The 14,382-nt window shown below is 43.1% G+C and overlaps 1 long non-coding RNA gene and 1 pseudogene across 1 annotated transcript; one reads left to right on the top strand and one right to left on the bottom strand.

Moving 5' to 3' along the window:
- OR2AI1P (olfactory receptor family 2 subfamily AI member 1 pseudogene) lies at nucleotides 2,340-3,268 on the top strand (annotated as a pseudogene).
- LINC02222 (long intergenic non-protein coding RNA 2222) lies at nucleotides 9,560-12,007 on the bottom strand. Its single transcript, NR_146728.1, has 2 exons — nucleotides 11,197-12,007; nucleotides 9,560-10,454 (listed from the first exon to the last, which is right to left on the bottom strand). It is a non-coding gene; the product is annotated as a long intergenic non-protein coding RNA 2222 (long non-coding RNA).
- Between the last annotated feature and the right edge of the window lie 2,375 nt (nucleotides 12,008-14,382).

The following is a 14,382-nucleotide window of genomic DNA, read 5'->3' as shown; positions in this document are numbered from 1 at the left end:
CCAGTACCATGCTGTTTCAATTACTGTAGCTTTGCAATATATTTTGAAATCAGGAAGTGAGAGACCTCAAACTTTGTTTCTTTTCAAGACTGTTTTGGCTATTCAGGGTCTCTTGAAGTTCTACATCAATTTTAGAATGAATTCTTCTGTTTTTGAAAAAAAATTATTGGAATTTTGATAGGGATTAAAGAGGACTGAATATATTGTTTTGAATAGTGTGTACATTGTAACGATATTAAGCCTTCCAATTCACGAACATGGGATGTATTTTCTTTATTTATGTCTTCTTTCATTTCTTTCACCATTTTATAGTGTTTGGATGTACAAGTCTTTCACTTGATGGTTTAATTTCACTTCTAAGTGTTTTATTCTTTTTGATGCCATTTTAAATGAAGTTTTTTCTTAATTTCCCTTTTAGATTATTTGTTTTTAGTCTATAGAAATGCAGTTGATTTGTTTGCTGATCTTTTATTCATCAACTTTGCTGAATTTATTCATTCATTTTAACTGTGTGTTTGCACACTCTATGGGACATTCTACCTATAAGATCATATCATCTGTGAACAGAGATAGCTTTACTTCTTCATTTCCAATTTGGATATCTTGTATTTCTTTTCCTTCCCTAATTAATCCAGCTGGGACTCCCAGTAGTATATTGAATAGAGGTGGTGGGAACCAACATCCTCACCTTGTTCCTGATTTTAGAAGAAAAACTTTCAGTCTTTCACCACTGAGTATGGTGTAAGTTGTGCATTTTTCATACATGGCTTTATAATGTTGAGGTGGTTTCCTTTTATTCCTAGCTGATTGTTTTTACCAGGAAAAGGGTATTATCTTTTGTCAAATGCTTTTTTCTGCATCAGTTGTGATGATCATGTAGTTTTGTCTTTTATTAATGTGGAATATTACATTGATTAATCTTCATATATTTTCCAGCATTAAACCATCCTTACACTCCAGGAATAAAACTTGATCATGATGTAGAATCCTCTAAATGTGCTGTGAATTCAGATTGATAATATCTTTTGAGGGTTTTTGTTTGTTTGTTTGTTTGGAGACGGAGTCTCACTTTGTTGCCCAGGCTGGAGTGCAATGGTGCAATCTTGGCTCACGGCAAGCTCTGCCTCTTGGGTTCATGCCATTCTCCTGCCTCAGCCTCCCGAGTAGCTTGGACTACAGGCACCTGCCACCACACCCAGCTAATTTTCTTTTGAGGGTTTTTGCACCAATAATCATCAGGATTATTCTACAGTTTTCTTTTATTTTAGTGACTTTGTCTGGCTTTGATATTAGGACAATGCTAGCTTCATAGAATGAGTTTGTGAGTGTTTTTTCCTATTTATTTATTTTTTGAAGAATTGGAGCATAATTGATCTTAATTCATCTTTAATATTTGGTAGAGTATCACCAGTGAAGCCTTATGGTTCTGAGTTTTTCTTTGTTGGGAAGTTTTTAATTGCTGATTCAGTTTCCTTACTAGTTATTGGTCTGTCCTAGTTTTCTATTTTTTGCTGATCCAGTCTTGGTAAGTTGTATGTTTCAAGGAGTTTATTCATTTCTTCTAGATTATCTGTTTATTGGAGTACAATTGTTCATGGGTTGTCTTATAAACCTTTTTTACTTCTGTGATACTGACTGTAATGGACCCTCTTTCATTCTGATTTTACTTGAGTCTTTTTTTCTTAGTTAATCTAGCTAAGGGTTTGTCAATTTTGTTGATCTTTTAAATAAATGCAAATCCATAAATGTGACACACCACATGAACGGAGTGAAGGACAAAACCATACGATCATCATGTTAGCGGCAGAAAAAGTATTTGACCAAATTCAATGTCCATTCATGATACAAAATCTCAATAGATTAGGTATAGAAGGAATGTAGCACAACACAATAAAAGCCATAAATGAAAAGCTAACAGCTAACATGCTTAGTGGTGACAAGTTGAAAGCTTCTTCTGTAAGATCAGGAGCAAGACAAGGATGTCCACTCTTTCTACATCTATTTAATATAGTACTGGTGGTCTATAAAATTTATTTTATTTTATCTTTACTATTCTTAGTGTTTTGAGCTCATTTGTCTAAAAGTGTTAAGCAGTAATAATAATAAAACAAAGCTACTTTATTCTAAGTTTTACATTCTTTGTAACATTGGATTTACATTTAAACCATTTAAATAATTTTTTACACCAGGAAATTTGAATTCCTATTATGTAGATTTGTTTGCAAACCTGTGAAATCATAGTGAATATTACATAAAAATTGACTAACTCCTTTTTAAAATTTGTTTTGACAATAGATAGAGTACACTTGATTCTATTTCAAGTGCTACAAAATAAGCAGATGATGAAAATAAATGACAGCTCAGGGGAAGACTTCATCTTAGTTGGCTTCTCAGAATATCCCCAGGCTGAGTTCATCCTTTCTCTGTTTGTCTCCGGGTTCTACACCATGACATTCACAGGGAACACAGCCATCATCTTGGTCTCTCTGCTGGACTACCGGCTCCGCACCCCAATGTACTTCTTCCTCCGAAAGCTCTCATTTCTGGACATGTGTTTCACCACCTGCATTGTCCTTCAGATGCTGGTGAACATCTGGGGAGAGAGTAAGAAGGTCAGCTATGTAGGCTGCATGGTTCAGTATTCTGTAGCCTTGGCTCTTGGCTCCACAGAGTGTGTGCTTCTTGCTATCATGGCTGTGGACCGTTATGTTGCCGTCCGCTGGCCCCTTCACTATGTTACAATCATGCACCAACAGATCTGCCACTTTCTCGCAGCCTTGTCCTGGTTTTCTGGGTTAGCCAACTCTCTCTTTCACTCTTCACTAACCACCATTTTGCCTCTGTGTGGCCACCGCCGTGTGGACCATTTCTTTGTGAGGTCCTGCTCATTGTCAAGCTGTCCTGCGTGGACACCGGCCCAACTGAATTGAAGATGTTAATTGCTCGTGTGATCATCCTTGCCCTTCCAGTGTGCACCATCCTCACCTCCTATGCCTGCATTGCCAGGGCTGTGCTGAGGCTGCAGTCTGCTGAAGGTCAGCAGAAGGCCTTTGGGACTTGTGCCTCCCACCTGATGGTGGTCTTGCTGTTCTATGGAACCATCATGTTCATGTGTCTTCAGCTGAAGAGTAACTACTCTCAGATTCAGGGAAAGCTGCTTCCTCTTGTTTATACCATTGCTGCCCCCACCTAGAACCCACTAATCTATGCACTGAGGAACAAAGTTGTAAAGAGGGCAATTGGAAAATTGATCTGGAAGGATTCAGTTTAAGAAATTACGATCCCTGGAATTTGTGTCATAGAAATTATTTGGAGAGTGGATTAATGGCAGGAAGGATAATTTTCAGATTTCAGCCCAAATTGATTGACAAACAAATGAAGCAAGTACTAAATACAAGCTGAATGTAAAATTGTTGTCATCAACAGTGGTGATTGTAATCTTACAAAAATTGCATAATACAGGCATTCATTCACATTTTTGCTGTCCTCAAAATCTGTAATCAGGATATTTTGCAATACTTGTTGATTTTCTCAAGAGATTGTTAGAGCTGTAGTTTTCTGGGGAATACTGGACCTTCTGAAGGATACAACACATGGTAGATATGGAAACTGCTCTGAAATAGCTTACATATGAAGACGGATCATGTGGATCTAAATCTTTATTAACGTAAGATAGGAATTGAAACCTTACAGGAAAGAAAACTGAGTAAGGAATTCAGGGACAGTATCATACTTTGTTTTTGAGGGAACAAGGAAAACTGCCTGCAGTGAGACACTTGAGCTAGTTTCTAAATGCTGCTTAGGATTTGGGCAGGTGTGTGGCAGTGGGGTAGAAAACATTCGGTGGATCCAGACCAGGGTAAGTATATGTGTTGCTAATACAAAGGAGAATAATATTAAGTTTATATACCCATTTGTTCTCTCACATGGCAAGGGCTGAGTGTTTATGGTATGTTAAGGATTCATGACACCAATATAAATGTGGCAGTAATTTTATTCAGCATGTCATGATTTACAAACAGATTGTAAATAAATACAAAGGTAGACATAATATGGCCTCTGCTGCCATGGAGGGATGTGCAATGAGAAATGAGAACTGACCTTTTGGAAAGGTTTTGCCGGGTAGATGGCATGTGTTATGAGCCATAAAGAAGGTATTCCAATTTCTCATATTGGTTAAAGCAGAAGAAGTTCCAGGCAGAGAAAGTTTAAGGAGGACATTGTATGTGGGGATAGGCTCGTCAGTTACAATATTGGTGGTGAAGGGAGAGCACAGTGACAGTGAGGACAGGAGGTGGCAGAGACAGATGACGGCTGGATCATCAGGGCTTAGGGAAGTTGGGCTGAGCTGATGACTCTTGCAGTAGGAGATGGAAGTCATACGCAGGACTTCAAATAGACAGTGGCAGAATCCGGCTTATGCTAGAAAGGTGGTATGTGTGTATGGGAGGAGGATTCCAGAGAGGGACTGGCTGGGGTGAGGGTGAAGGCAGCTCTCAGGGAGAGCTGCAGCTGTGACAATGAGGGACCATGAAAGTCTGGTCTGACAATCATGAGGAAGATGGATAGGGTTTGATAATGAAGCTGGAGGTTGGAATGGGTGAAGGGGATTCCTGAAGCACCTGTTTTCTTCAGAATTTACCTCTGTTTAATTACTTTTAGCCTTAGAATGTAACATAGGCCATTATGAACATTTCCACACTCAGAAGAGGGAACTGAGGCACAGAAGGGTCTATAGAACTTCTCAGTTCATGTAGCTTCCAAATAAGGACTTGAGCCCAAACCTTTGTGCACCAGTTCCCCGTGCTCTTGGTCACTCCCATCTGCCGCCCTTCTACCTTGTCTTATCTCAGTACAGGGATTTGCCTACACAGTCGGTCTGCACCGTTGTTAAGTGCAATCCACAGTGCAAGTTCTTCCTAACGCCCAGCTCAGTTTCAGGAGGCTTATCGCTGCAGATGGTGACAGTGGACAATGGATCAAACATTGAACCCAGTGGTCCCCAGCCTTTTTGACACCAGGGGCCAATTTCATGGAACATAATTTTTCAGAGGATGAGGGTGGGGAGGAAGGATGCTTTCAGGATGATTCTTGTACATTTATTGTGCACTTTATTATTATATTGTAATAATTAATGAAGTAATTCTACAACTCACCATAAGGTAGAATCAGTGGGAGCCCTGAGCTTGTTTTCCTGCAACGAGACAGTCCCATCTGGGGGTGATGGGAGACAGTGACCCATCATCAGGCATTTATTCTCATAAAGCACATGCAGCCTGGATCCCTGGCCTGTGCAGCTCACAGTAGGGTTTGCGCTTCTATGAGAAGCTAATGCCCTGGCTAATCTGACAGGAGGTGGAACTCAGGCGGTGATGGGAGTGACGGGGAGCGGCTGTAAATACAGATGAAGCTTTGCTCCCAGCTGGCTGCTCACCACCTGCTGTGCAGCCCAGTTCCAAACAGGCCACACACTATCGATGGCCCAGGGGTTGGGGACCCCTGATTTAATCCATTTCCCATTTAGAAAGGAAAACTGTGTAGGGAAAAGAGAGATCAGACTGTTACTGTGTCTATGTAGAAAAGGAAGACATAAGAGACTCCATTTTGAAAAAGACCTGTACTTTGAACCATTGCTTTGCTGAGACGTTAATCTGTAGCTTTGCCCCAGCCACTTTGACCCAACTACTTTGACCCAACCTAGAGCTTACAAAAACATGTGTTGTATACAATCAAAGTTTAAAGGATCTAAGGCTGTGCAGGACGTGCCTTGTTAACAAAATGTTTACAAGCAGTATACTTAGTAAAAGTCATCGCCATTCTCTAGTCTCAATAAACCAAAGGCACAACGCACTGTAGAAAGCCGCAAGGACCTCTGCCCTTGAAAGTGAAGTATTGTCCAAAGTTTCTCCCCATGTGATAGTCTGAAATATAGCCTCATAAGAAAGACCTGACCGTCCCCCAGCCCGACACCTGTAAAAAGTCTGTGCTAAAGTAGATTAGTAAAAAAAGAAAGCCTCTTGCAGTTAAGATAGAAGAAGGCCACTGTCTCCTGCCTGCTCCTAAGAACTGAATGTCTCAGTATAAAACCCGACTGTACATTTGTTCAATTCTAAGATCAAAGAAAAACCGCCCGATAGTAAGAAGCAAGACATGTTTACAGCAATGCTGCTTTGTTATTCTTTACTCCGCTAAGATGTTTAAGTAGAAAGAGACATAAATCTGGCCTACGTCCACATCCAGGCACATTACCTTCCCTTAAACTTAATTATGACACAGATTCTTTTGCTCACATGTTTTTTGCTGACCTTCTTCTTATTATCACACTGCCCTCCTACTACATTCCTTTTTGCTGAAATAATAAAAATAATCAATAAAAACTGAAAGAACTCAGAAACCAGTGCCAGTGCAAGTCCTTAGTATGTTAAGTGCCAGTCCCCTAGGCCCACTGTTATTTCTCTATACTTTGTCTTTGTGTCTTACTTCTTTTCTCAGTCTCTCATCCCACCCGACTAGAAATACCCACAGATGTGAAGAGGCAGGCCACCACTTCAAAGTACAGCTCGCTGGCAGCACAGTGTTCTCGGGGAACACAGGAAATGGGTTGAACTGTGAATAAACGATTCCTCATTTCTTTATGGTCTTTTGCAGCAAGATGTCAACAGCTGTCTTTATTTTCTTACATTTCCCAGATAACTCCTTGGATCAGCAGGAATCTACGCACAGATTTAGAGCGCATATGCGCCCTGATCCTAATTTGCCCCCTGAAGAGCAGCGACGTAGAGGTACTGTGGAAATTCAGTTACTCACCCTCGCAAGCATAAGGATTCCACATTCTTCAGTGTCCCACACTTCAGACCACTCTGACGTTGCTACACTGTATCTTCTTTATTTCATGTGTGCAAATTGACTAGTGTAGCACTAGTCAGTCACTAGTGACTGTATTTCCGCTTCAAGTTTGGTTCACTTTTAATAGTAAAGAACATCTCAATGCAAGGTTTAGATATTTCGCTGATTGTTAGACATTGGCTAAAATGGAACTCTTCCTGAGATCATGTTGCTGCGTTTTCAAACAAATGGAGATCATGTGAAACTTGTAAATTAACATAAAAATTGAAATAGTACAGAAAGTTCCCATATACCCTCCCCCCTCAGTATCTTTTTTGTGATCACATCTTACATGAATGTGGTGCATTTGTTATAGTGGCTGAAGCAATAGTGATATCATCTTCTTCTTAATGAACGTCTAGAGTTTGCAGTAAGGCTCACCCGGTGTTGTTCAGCCTACGGATTTTGACAAACTCATAATGTCATTCATCACCCAGACAGAAAAGTTTCACACTCAAAACATGAGTAAAATAAAATATCATTTATTTTACTGCCTCTGTCGATTTTCTTTCCCCAGATTCTATAGAATTGGAATCATAAAGTATGCAGTCACTTAGGACTAACTGATTTCACTTAGCAATATGCATGCAAGATTTTTCCTATCTTTTTTAGCTTAACGGCTTACTAAGTTTTATCAGTGAATCATGTTCCACTGGGTTCCTGTAACAATGTGGGTGGCTGCACTCACTGCCTGAAGAGCATCTCAGCTGCTTCCCGTTCAGGTGATTGTGAATACAGCTGCCCTCATTCTCGTGCAGATTTTGCAATGGGCATAATTTTAAAATGTAACTGGGTAAATGTTTAGAATTTTAATCAGCTGTGTATATAATAAGACTATGTTTTCCCTTGTAAGAATTAGGTAGAATTCAGTAAAATCATTTTTAAAAATGCATTTTTAAAAAAGTTCTTATTGATTCAATTTCTGTAATAGATATAAGCCTACTCAGATTATCTGAGTCTCCTTTGGGTACTTATGATATAGTTTCTGCCTTTGAAGGAATTTGTTAGTTTTATCTAAGCTGTCAAATTTGTGAGCATAGATTTATGCTAAGTATTCTTTTATTATCTGCTTGATATTAATGGGATCAACAGGAATGATTCTTCCTTTTATTTATATTATTTGTAAATTGTGTCTCCTAGCTTTTCTTGATGGTTAGCCTGGCTGGAGGTTTATCAATTCTATTTATCTTTCCTATGAAGCAGCCCTTGGTTTTGTTTATCATTTCTATTATAATGATTTCTGTAAATAATTTTTTGTTCTATTTTTATATCTGGTTTACATTACACTATAGTTTTTTCTGTAGCTTCCTAAGGTGGAAGGTAAGAAAACTGAATTAATATTGTTTTTAGTTTTGTTCGTTTGTTTTTTTAAGACAAAGTCTTGCTCTGTTGCCAAGGCTGGAGTGCAATGGCACGATCTTGACTCACAGCAACCTCCACCTCCCAGGTTCAAGTGATTCTCCCATCTCAGCCTCCCTAGAAGCTGCGATTGCAGGTGCCCGCCACCATGCCCGCCTAATTTTTGTATTTTTAGTAGGGACGGGGTTTCACAGTGTTGGTCAGGCTTGTCTCAAACTCCTGACCTCAGGTGATCCACCTTGCCTTGGCCTCCCAAAGTGCTAGGATTACAGTGCGAGCCACTGCACCCGGCCTGTTTTTAGTTTTCTGTACAGCATTGTGAATAGAACTAATGCTCCGAAGTGTGCACTTAATAATTAAAATAATACATATTGTGTATTTCTCACAATAATGCTTTAAAATCCAATAATATCAGGTGACCGAAGCAGGAGAATCGCTCGATCCCAGGAGGCAGAGGTGGCAGTGAGCCGAGATCACACCACTGCACTCCAGCCTGGGCAACAGAGTGAGACTCTGTCTCAAAAAAAAAAAAAAATCCAATAATAGAGATGATAAGTGCAGAAGGAGCATATATAGATTCAGGAATGTTAAACATGGTAACTTGTTTTAAAATAGAGGACATTTTCCAGGCCTCTTTCTGTGAGGAGACCCTGTCCTGGAGTGATGTCGTGCATTTCTGTGCTGCCTGTGTAAACACTGCCTACTTCACAGTGATGAGGGCGGCTTAGCCAGGGACCCGAGGCTGTGTCTCCCAGGGCTCTCCTGATGGCGTCCATTGCCTGCCCTTCACCACCAAGGAGGGTGGCCCAGCAGCAGCTCCGCCCGTGCTCTCACCCACCTCCTCCACACACGCCAGTCCTGTGTCCTCAGCACCCAAGGCTGCCAGAGGTCCTTCAGCAGCTCCCACGGCTGACAGTGACTCTATGTTTCCTAGGCTTCTTCTACCGCCAGAATTGGCGGTTTCCCTCGCTGGATTCTTGGGACCTGATCCAGGCAGCACACTCGGTAAAGTCTTCTTTCTTTGTCTGAGATGGGAATTTTATTTCTTTTGGTTTCTTTCTATTTTCTCTGAATTAAGATATGTAATTCTTACCACGGACTTTACAGATGAGCCACAGAATTTCTTGGTGGGCAGAGGTATGTGAGAGCCCATTCATTGCCAACTTGGAACTTGTTCCAGATGGCACTCATAGATGACAGTGTTAGTGATAAACTGCATGGCAGAGAGCATTGTCCTCAGGAGAAATGCATTCTTGAAAACAGCGGTGACTTTGCAACCAAAAATCATTTTTGAAAATCTCATACAACACTCTTGTACATTTCCTCAAGTGTCTTCTAGGCTTTATTTGGGGGCCATTGCCTCGAGCACTATCTCCCAACCAGTTTTCTAATGTCACCAAGTGAAGAAAAGACCCATGAACACAGGACACAGCATGGTCTGAGGCTCACGGTGTTTTCCTTTCTCTCTGCAGACACACTCAGCGATTCAGCTCTAACGTGCGTACTCTGGGATCTCCCATTTAATAAGGAAAAATCTTAGCTTTGAGAAAGGTGACACTTTCCTCCCTACTTTTGCTGGAGAACTACCCTGGTTTGAGCCTCCTGCTGGAAATGAGGTTTGGGCAGTTTGGTGTAAAGAAATGAAGAGTTTAGTCAACAACTGTGGCCATCCACTGCAGTTCCCAGAAGCAGTGATGTCATTTAAATAGGAATAGGGGTGCATCAGGGTGGGGAGATATGGAGGAGAGAGTCCGTGTGGAGTGATGGTGAATGCCTTTGGGAGTGTGTGTGCATTTCTCTAGAAAGCATGCTCCTCTGTGCAAAGCACAACCCAAGGATCAATGTTCTAGAAACAAAATTCCATCCCCGCATCAGTCAACACTTCATCCTTCATCACAGCTGTACCTGAAGGTTAGTGTAACATACCCCGTCCTCAGATTGGAGATGGTGGAGAGATGAATTTCCCAAGCTCTGAATTTGTATTCTTGATTTTTCTATCAGGATTTTTGCCTTAAATATTTTCCTCTATTTAGAAAAATGTCCCATTTCCCATGCCAATTTTATGCACTCTTTTCCATAGAATAGATCCAGAAGGAACACAGCAACACTGCCTTCACCAGATCGGGAGAATCTTGATACCAAGTGCGGTGTGAGACAGCCCATGAGAGGGGGATTACAGGCCAAAGTCTTCTGAATAGAGACATCCAAACCTGAAACCAAATATTAGAGCATACTAAATGCAGAGATTGCTAAAAAAATAATGAGTTATTTCATGATTTGAAACAGAATTTTGCCTAGTTTAAAGGTTTTGGGGATTGTTTTAAAGAAAAATTTGAAAGATAAATACAACTGAATGAATGTAAACAGTTATAAAATAGAAAAAGTTATGAGGTTATAAAAGGCTTATGAAACATAAATGTTTTATAACCTCATAATTTCTAATCACAATCAAAACCGAGATAGATTTGTTTATAGGGTCTTATTAAAACTAGCTACAATATTAAACATACGCTAATATCAAACCAAAGGTTAAAAAGTAAGCTGTTCGTAAGATATCAATTTGTTCTCAATGAGAATACAAGAGGTAACAATTTTTCATTCTGAAATCTATTTCTTTCTTTTTTTTTTTTGTTTGAGACGGGGTCTCCCTCTTCTCCTTCTGTTGCCCAGGCTGGAGTGCAATGGCACAATCTTGGCTCAGCACAACCTCCACCTCCTTCAAATTTTCATCAGCTCCATCAGCTTCCCCCAGGTTCTAATTCTGTCCCTGTAATACCAAAATGCTTGCCTTAAAGGTCTAAAAAGCCAACATTTGTCTCAGCTGTCACATGGTTTTGTGCTCTTGGCTTTTGATCTATCTGGGTTGTCTCCTGCGAGCAGGTGAGGGAGCTCGCTTCCTGCTCACAGTCCTCCTCCTCAGGGCCCCTGCTCATGGCCTGGGGCACACTTTACCTGTGTCTCATTAACCTCGAGGGCCCTGCCCATCAGGGTGGCTTCCAGGTCATTCGGCGGCCTTCATCGAGCGAGCGCTGCCAGCTCTCAGGTAGCTGCTCAGGTCGGCCGTCAGCAAGATGGATGGGTCGTGGATAGAATTCATCAAACCACTGATGCACCAGCCCCGATGGCCACATTTTCAGTTAACTTCCGTTAACTGCTCCTGCAGGGTTGGTCAGTTGCAGGAAGGTTTTTTCCTGGCACAGCCGTTAAGTGGCAGTTGGCTTGGAACGTCCTGAGTTCTGAGCCAGCCTGGCGGCCAAACAGACCCCCCTGGTCCCTTGGGATGGTCACTGGTCATGTGCTCACCACAAAGCAAGGTCAGGGGCCGGAGGTTTCTGTTTGAATGATTGAAGCTCTTCTCTGGACTTAGCCACCTCCAGGCATCCACCTTCCTGAAGAGACCTGGGGCAGGAGGATCGAGAAAGGGAGTGAAAAGAGCCCCTGGTTCAGGGTCCAGTCCATGATTTGGAGGTCTCAGGCGTTCAGGGACCTCTGTCCCCAGAAAACCAACTACATTCTTGTCCCAGATCCATCACTCCCGAGTGCTGTGACTCTGGGCAGGTCACTTCAAATCCCTCATTTCACTTCCCAGAGCTGTCAACTCTGGGTGGCAGCCCCTGCCCTGCCCATCCCTCCAGGCTGATGTGGGCACCACAGGAAAGAACAGAAACTCTCCCCATGGCTCTGAAGCATAGGCCCATGTGAAGGAGGAAGAACGTCCCTTCCCCCACTGCCCCAGAGCCCCCCGAGCAGCTTCTCTATATTCACCACCACCAAGAGCCTGATCTCTTTCTTTTCTTTTCTTTTTTCTTTTTTGAGAGGAAGTCTCGCTTTTGTCACTCAGGCTGGAGTGCAATGGAATGATCTCAGCTCACTGCAACTGCTGGAGTAACTTGGCTTAGCAAGAAATTATACCAGGGCTTTGTGACAAATTCAGTGCAGTAGCCCATGGCATTAACCTTCCACTCATTGCCGAGGTCACATGTGCCTCTTCCATTTAAAAGACCAAGAGCTTGGTAAATTCGACTCTGCACCATGTCCATCTGAGGTCTGGGGATAGTAAACTTATCTTTGGGCACAGCTGAGGTGGAGGATGAATGGGTTGATTTATGCAAACTGTGCAGTGCTGATGGAATTTTCCTTGAACATTGATCCTTGTGTTGTGCTTTCAACATGGGAGTATGTTTTCTGGGGAAATGCACACACACTCCCAAAGACATCCACAATCATTCCATAAGGACTCTCTCCTCTGTCCCTCCCAACCCTGATGTACCACCGCACCTTACATGACACTGCTGCTTCCAGGGATGACAGTAGCATGGTTAGGGTTGTTTACTGGACTCTCAGTATTTTCTTAAACCAAACTTCCCAAATCTCATTTCTGGCAGGAAGCTCAAACCAGAGTGGCTCTTGAGCAAAGGCAGGCAAAACAGCGCCACCTTTGCCACACTAAGATTTCGAACCTAAACAAAGAGATGATCCCAGAATACGTACTGTTTGCCAGTGTGTCTGGGTCCCCCTGCATCTAGAGAAAAATAAAACACTATGAGGGTCAGACCAGGCTGTGTCCTGCATGCACAGGTCTTTTCTTCACTTGTTGATGTTAAAAAAACAGATGGTAAATAGTGGTTGAGACAATGGCCCCGGTATCTAGAAGATATGCATGGAAAGGCACAAGATTTCTGTGCAAGGTTTTCAATTGTTTTTGTTTGACAATTCCAAATACTTCTCAACAAGAAGGCATTTCTCTTGAGGAAAATGTCTGCTGACATACAGTTTGTAAATGTGGATGCCATGTGAAACCATTTTTTAGTTGATAAAGAACTCTGACATTTGCACACCAAGAAATTCTGTCAGTCACCTATAGTGTACACGGTTAAGGTTTAGACATGTTAATTCAGTTGAAACAGAGAGACACCAAGAGAAATAAAATTTCCATTTCAGAGGAAAGAAGACGTCTTTACCATGTGAACCCCTGTGGCTTCCTCAGAGGACGTCTGCCCTGGCATATCTTCCTCCAGGTCATGCTGGTCACCTGGGAAACAGAGTCGCTATAAGCACATGAGCTCCACTGAGTGAATCCCTCAGGTGGTCTTGGAGCTCTGGACACGGGGCTGGCGTGTGTGGAAAGGTGTGTTCACAGCACAGACTCAGCTGCTGCCGGCACTCAATAAATGCCAAGGACAGCTACCTCCCTGGAGTCCAAAGAGGACAGCAGTCACCATCGTGGCAGTGCAGTCTCAGTTCCAGACCGAAATTCCTTCTTCCCAACATGTGGAGCAGGGGACCCAGTGTGGGGTGCAGGGCCTCTGCAGACACCTCTCCTCCTGGGCCCCCAGCCAGGAAGGGTGGCCTGGAGGAGCAGCAGGAGGAGGAGCAGAGATGGGAGTCAGCCCTGGCCTCGGAGGCGCCACCATCTCTGCCCACACAGGCACCGCCCTCTCTTCCTCGAGGTTCTTCCTCCAACACCCGGCCTGAGCCACCCACTGGAGAACACGGACATCCCTCTCCCCATTGTGTGCGGGGAAACGGAGGCCCAGCACTCGCATCTCACACTCATGGTGGAACTGTGACCGGGACCCAAGTCTCCTGACACCCCTACAATGACATGCAGCCCTCTGCCTGGGTGGGGAGGGGGTCCGGGCACAGCTGAGGTTTGGGGGAAGGAGGTCTTCTGGGAATGTTCCCAGGGTTCCCGAGGATGGTGGTGACTCAATGCCCACGGGAGAAATCAGATGATCCCACGCCCTCCTCGAAAGGGACGGGGGGCTCAGGCACTGATGAAGATGCCTCTGGATGAAGCTGCTTGATGGTTTGGGCAGAAATGCTTAAACTCAGGACACTAAAAATGGGACAGGCTGTTGGGTTTTCCAAATGTAGACAACGGGCAGAGGGCTCAAAGAGATGCCATTCCAATGAGAGGCAACTGGCCAGCAAGCCCAGGAAAAGGTGCCCGGCAGCACTGTCGCCAGGGAAAGGCAAGCCAGAGCCACAGGGAGATGATGCCGTGCAACCACTGGATGGCCAGAGTTAGACACACACCAGAGAATAACACGGGGCGGGGAGGACGGGATAGACCCCTGTGCACTGCTGTTGGGAATGGAACATGACTCAACCACTGTGGAAAACAGCGCAGCAGTT

The sequence above is a fragment of the Homo sapiens genome, chromosome 5, assembly GCF_000001405.40.
Source record: "Homo sapiens chromosome 5, GRCh38.p14 Primary Assembly".
In the NCBI taxonomy this organism is placed as follows: Eukaryota; Metazoa; Chordata; class Mammalia; order Primates; family Hominidae; genus Homo; species Homo sapiens.
This window is presented reverse-complemented; position numbering and strand designations above follow the sequence as displayed.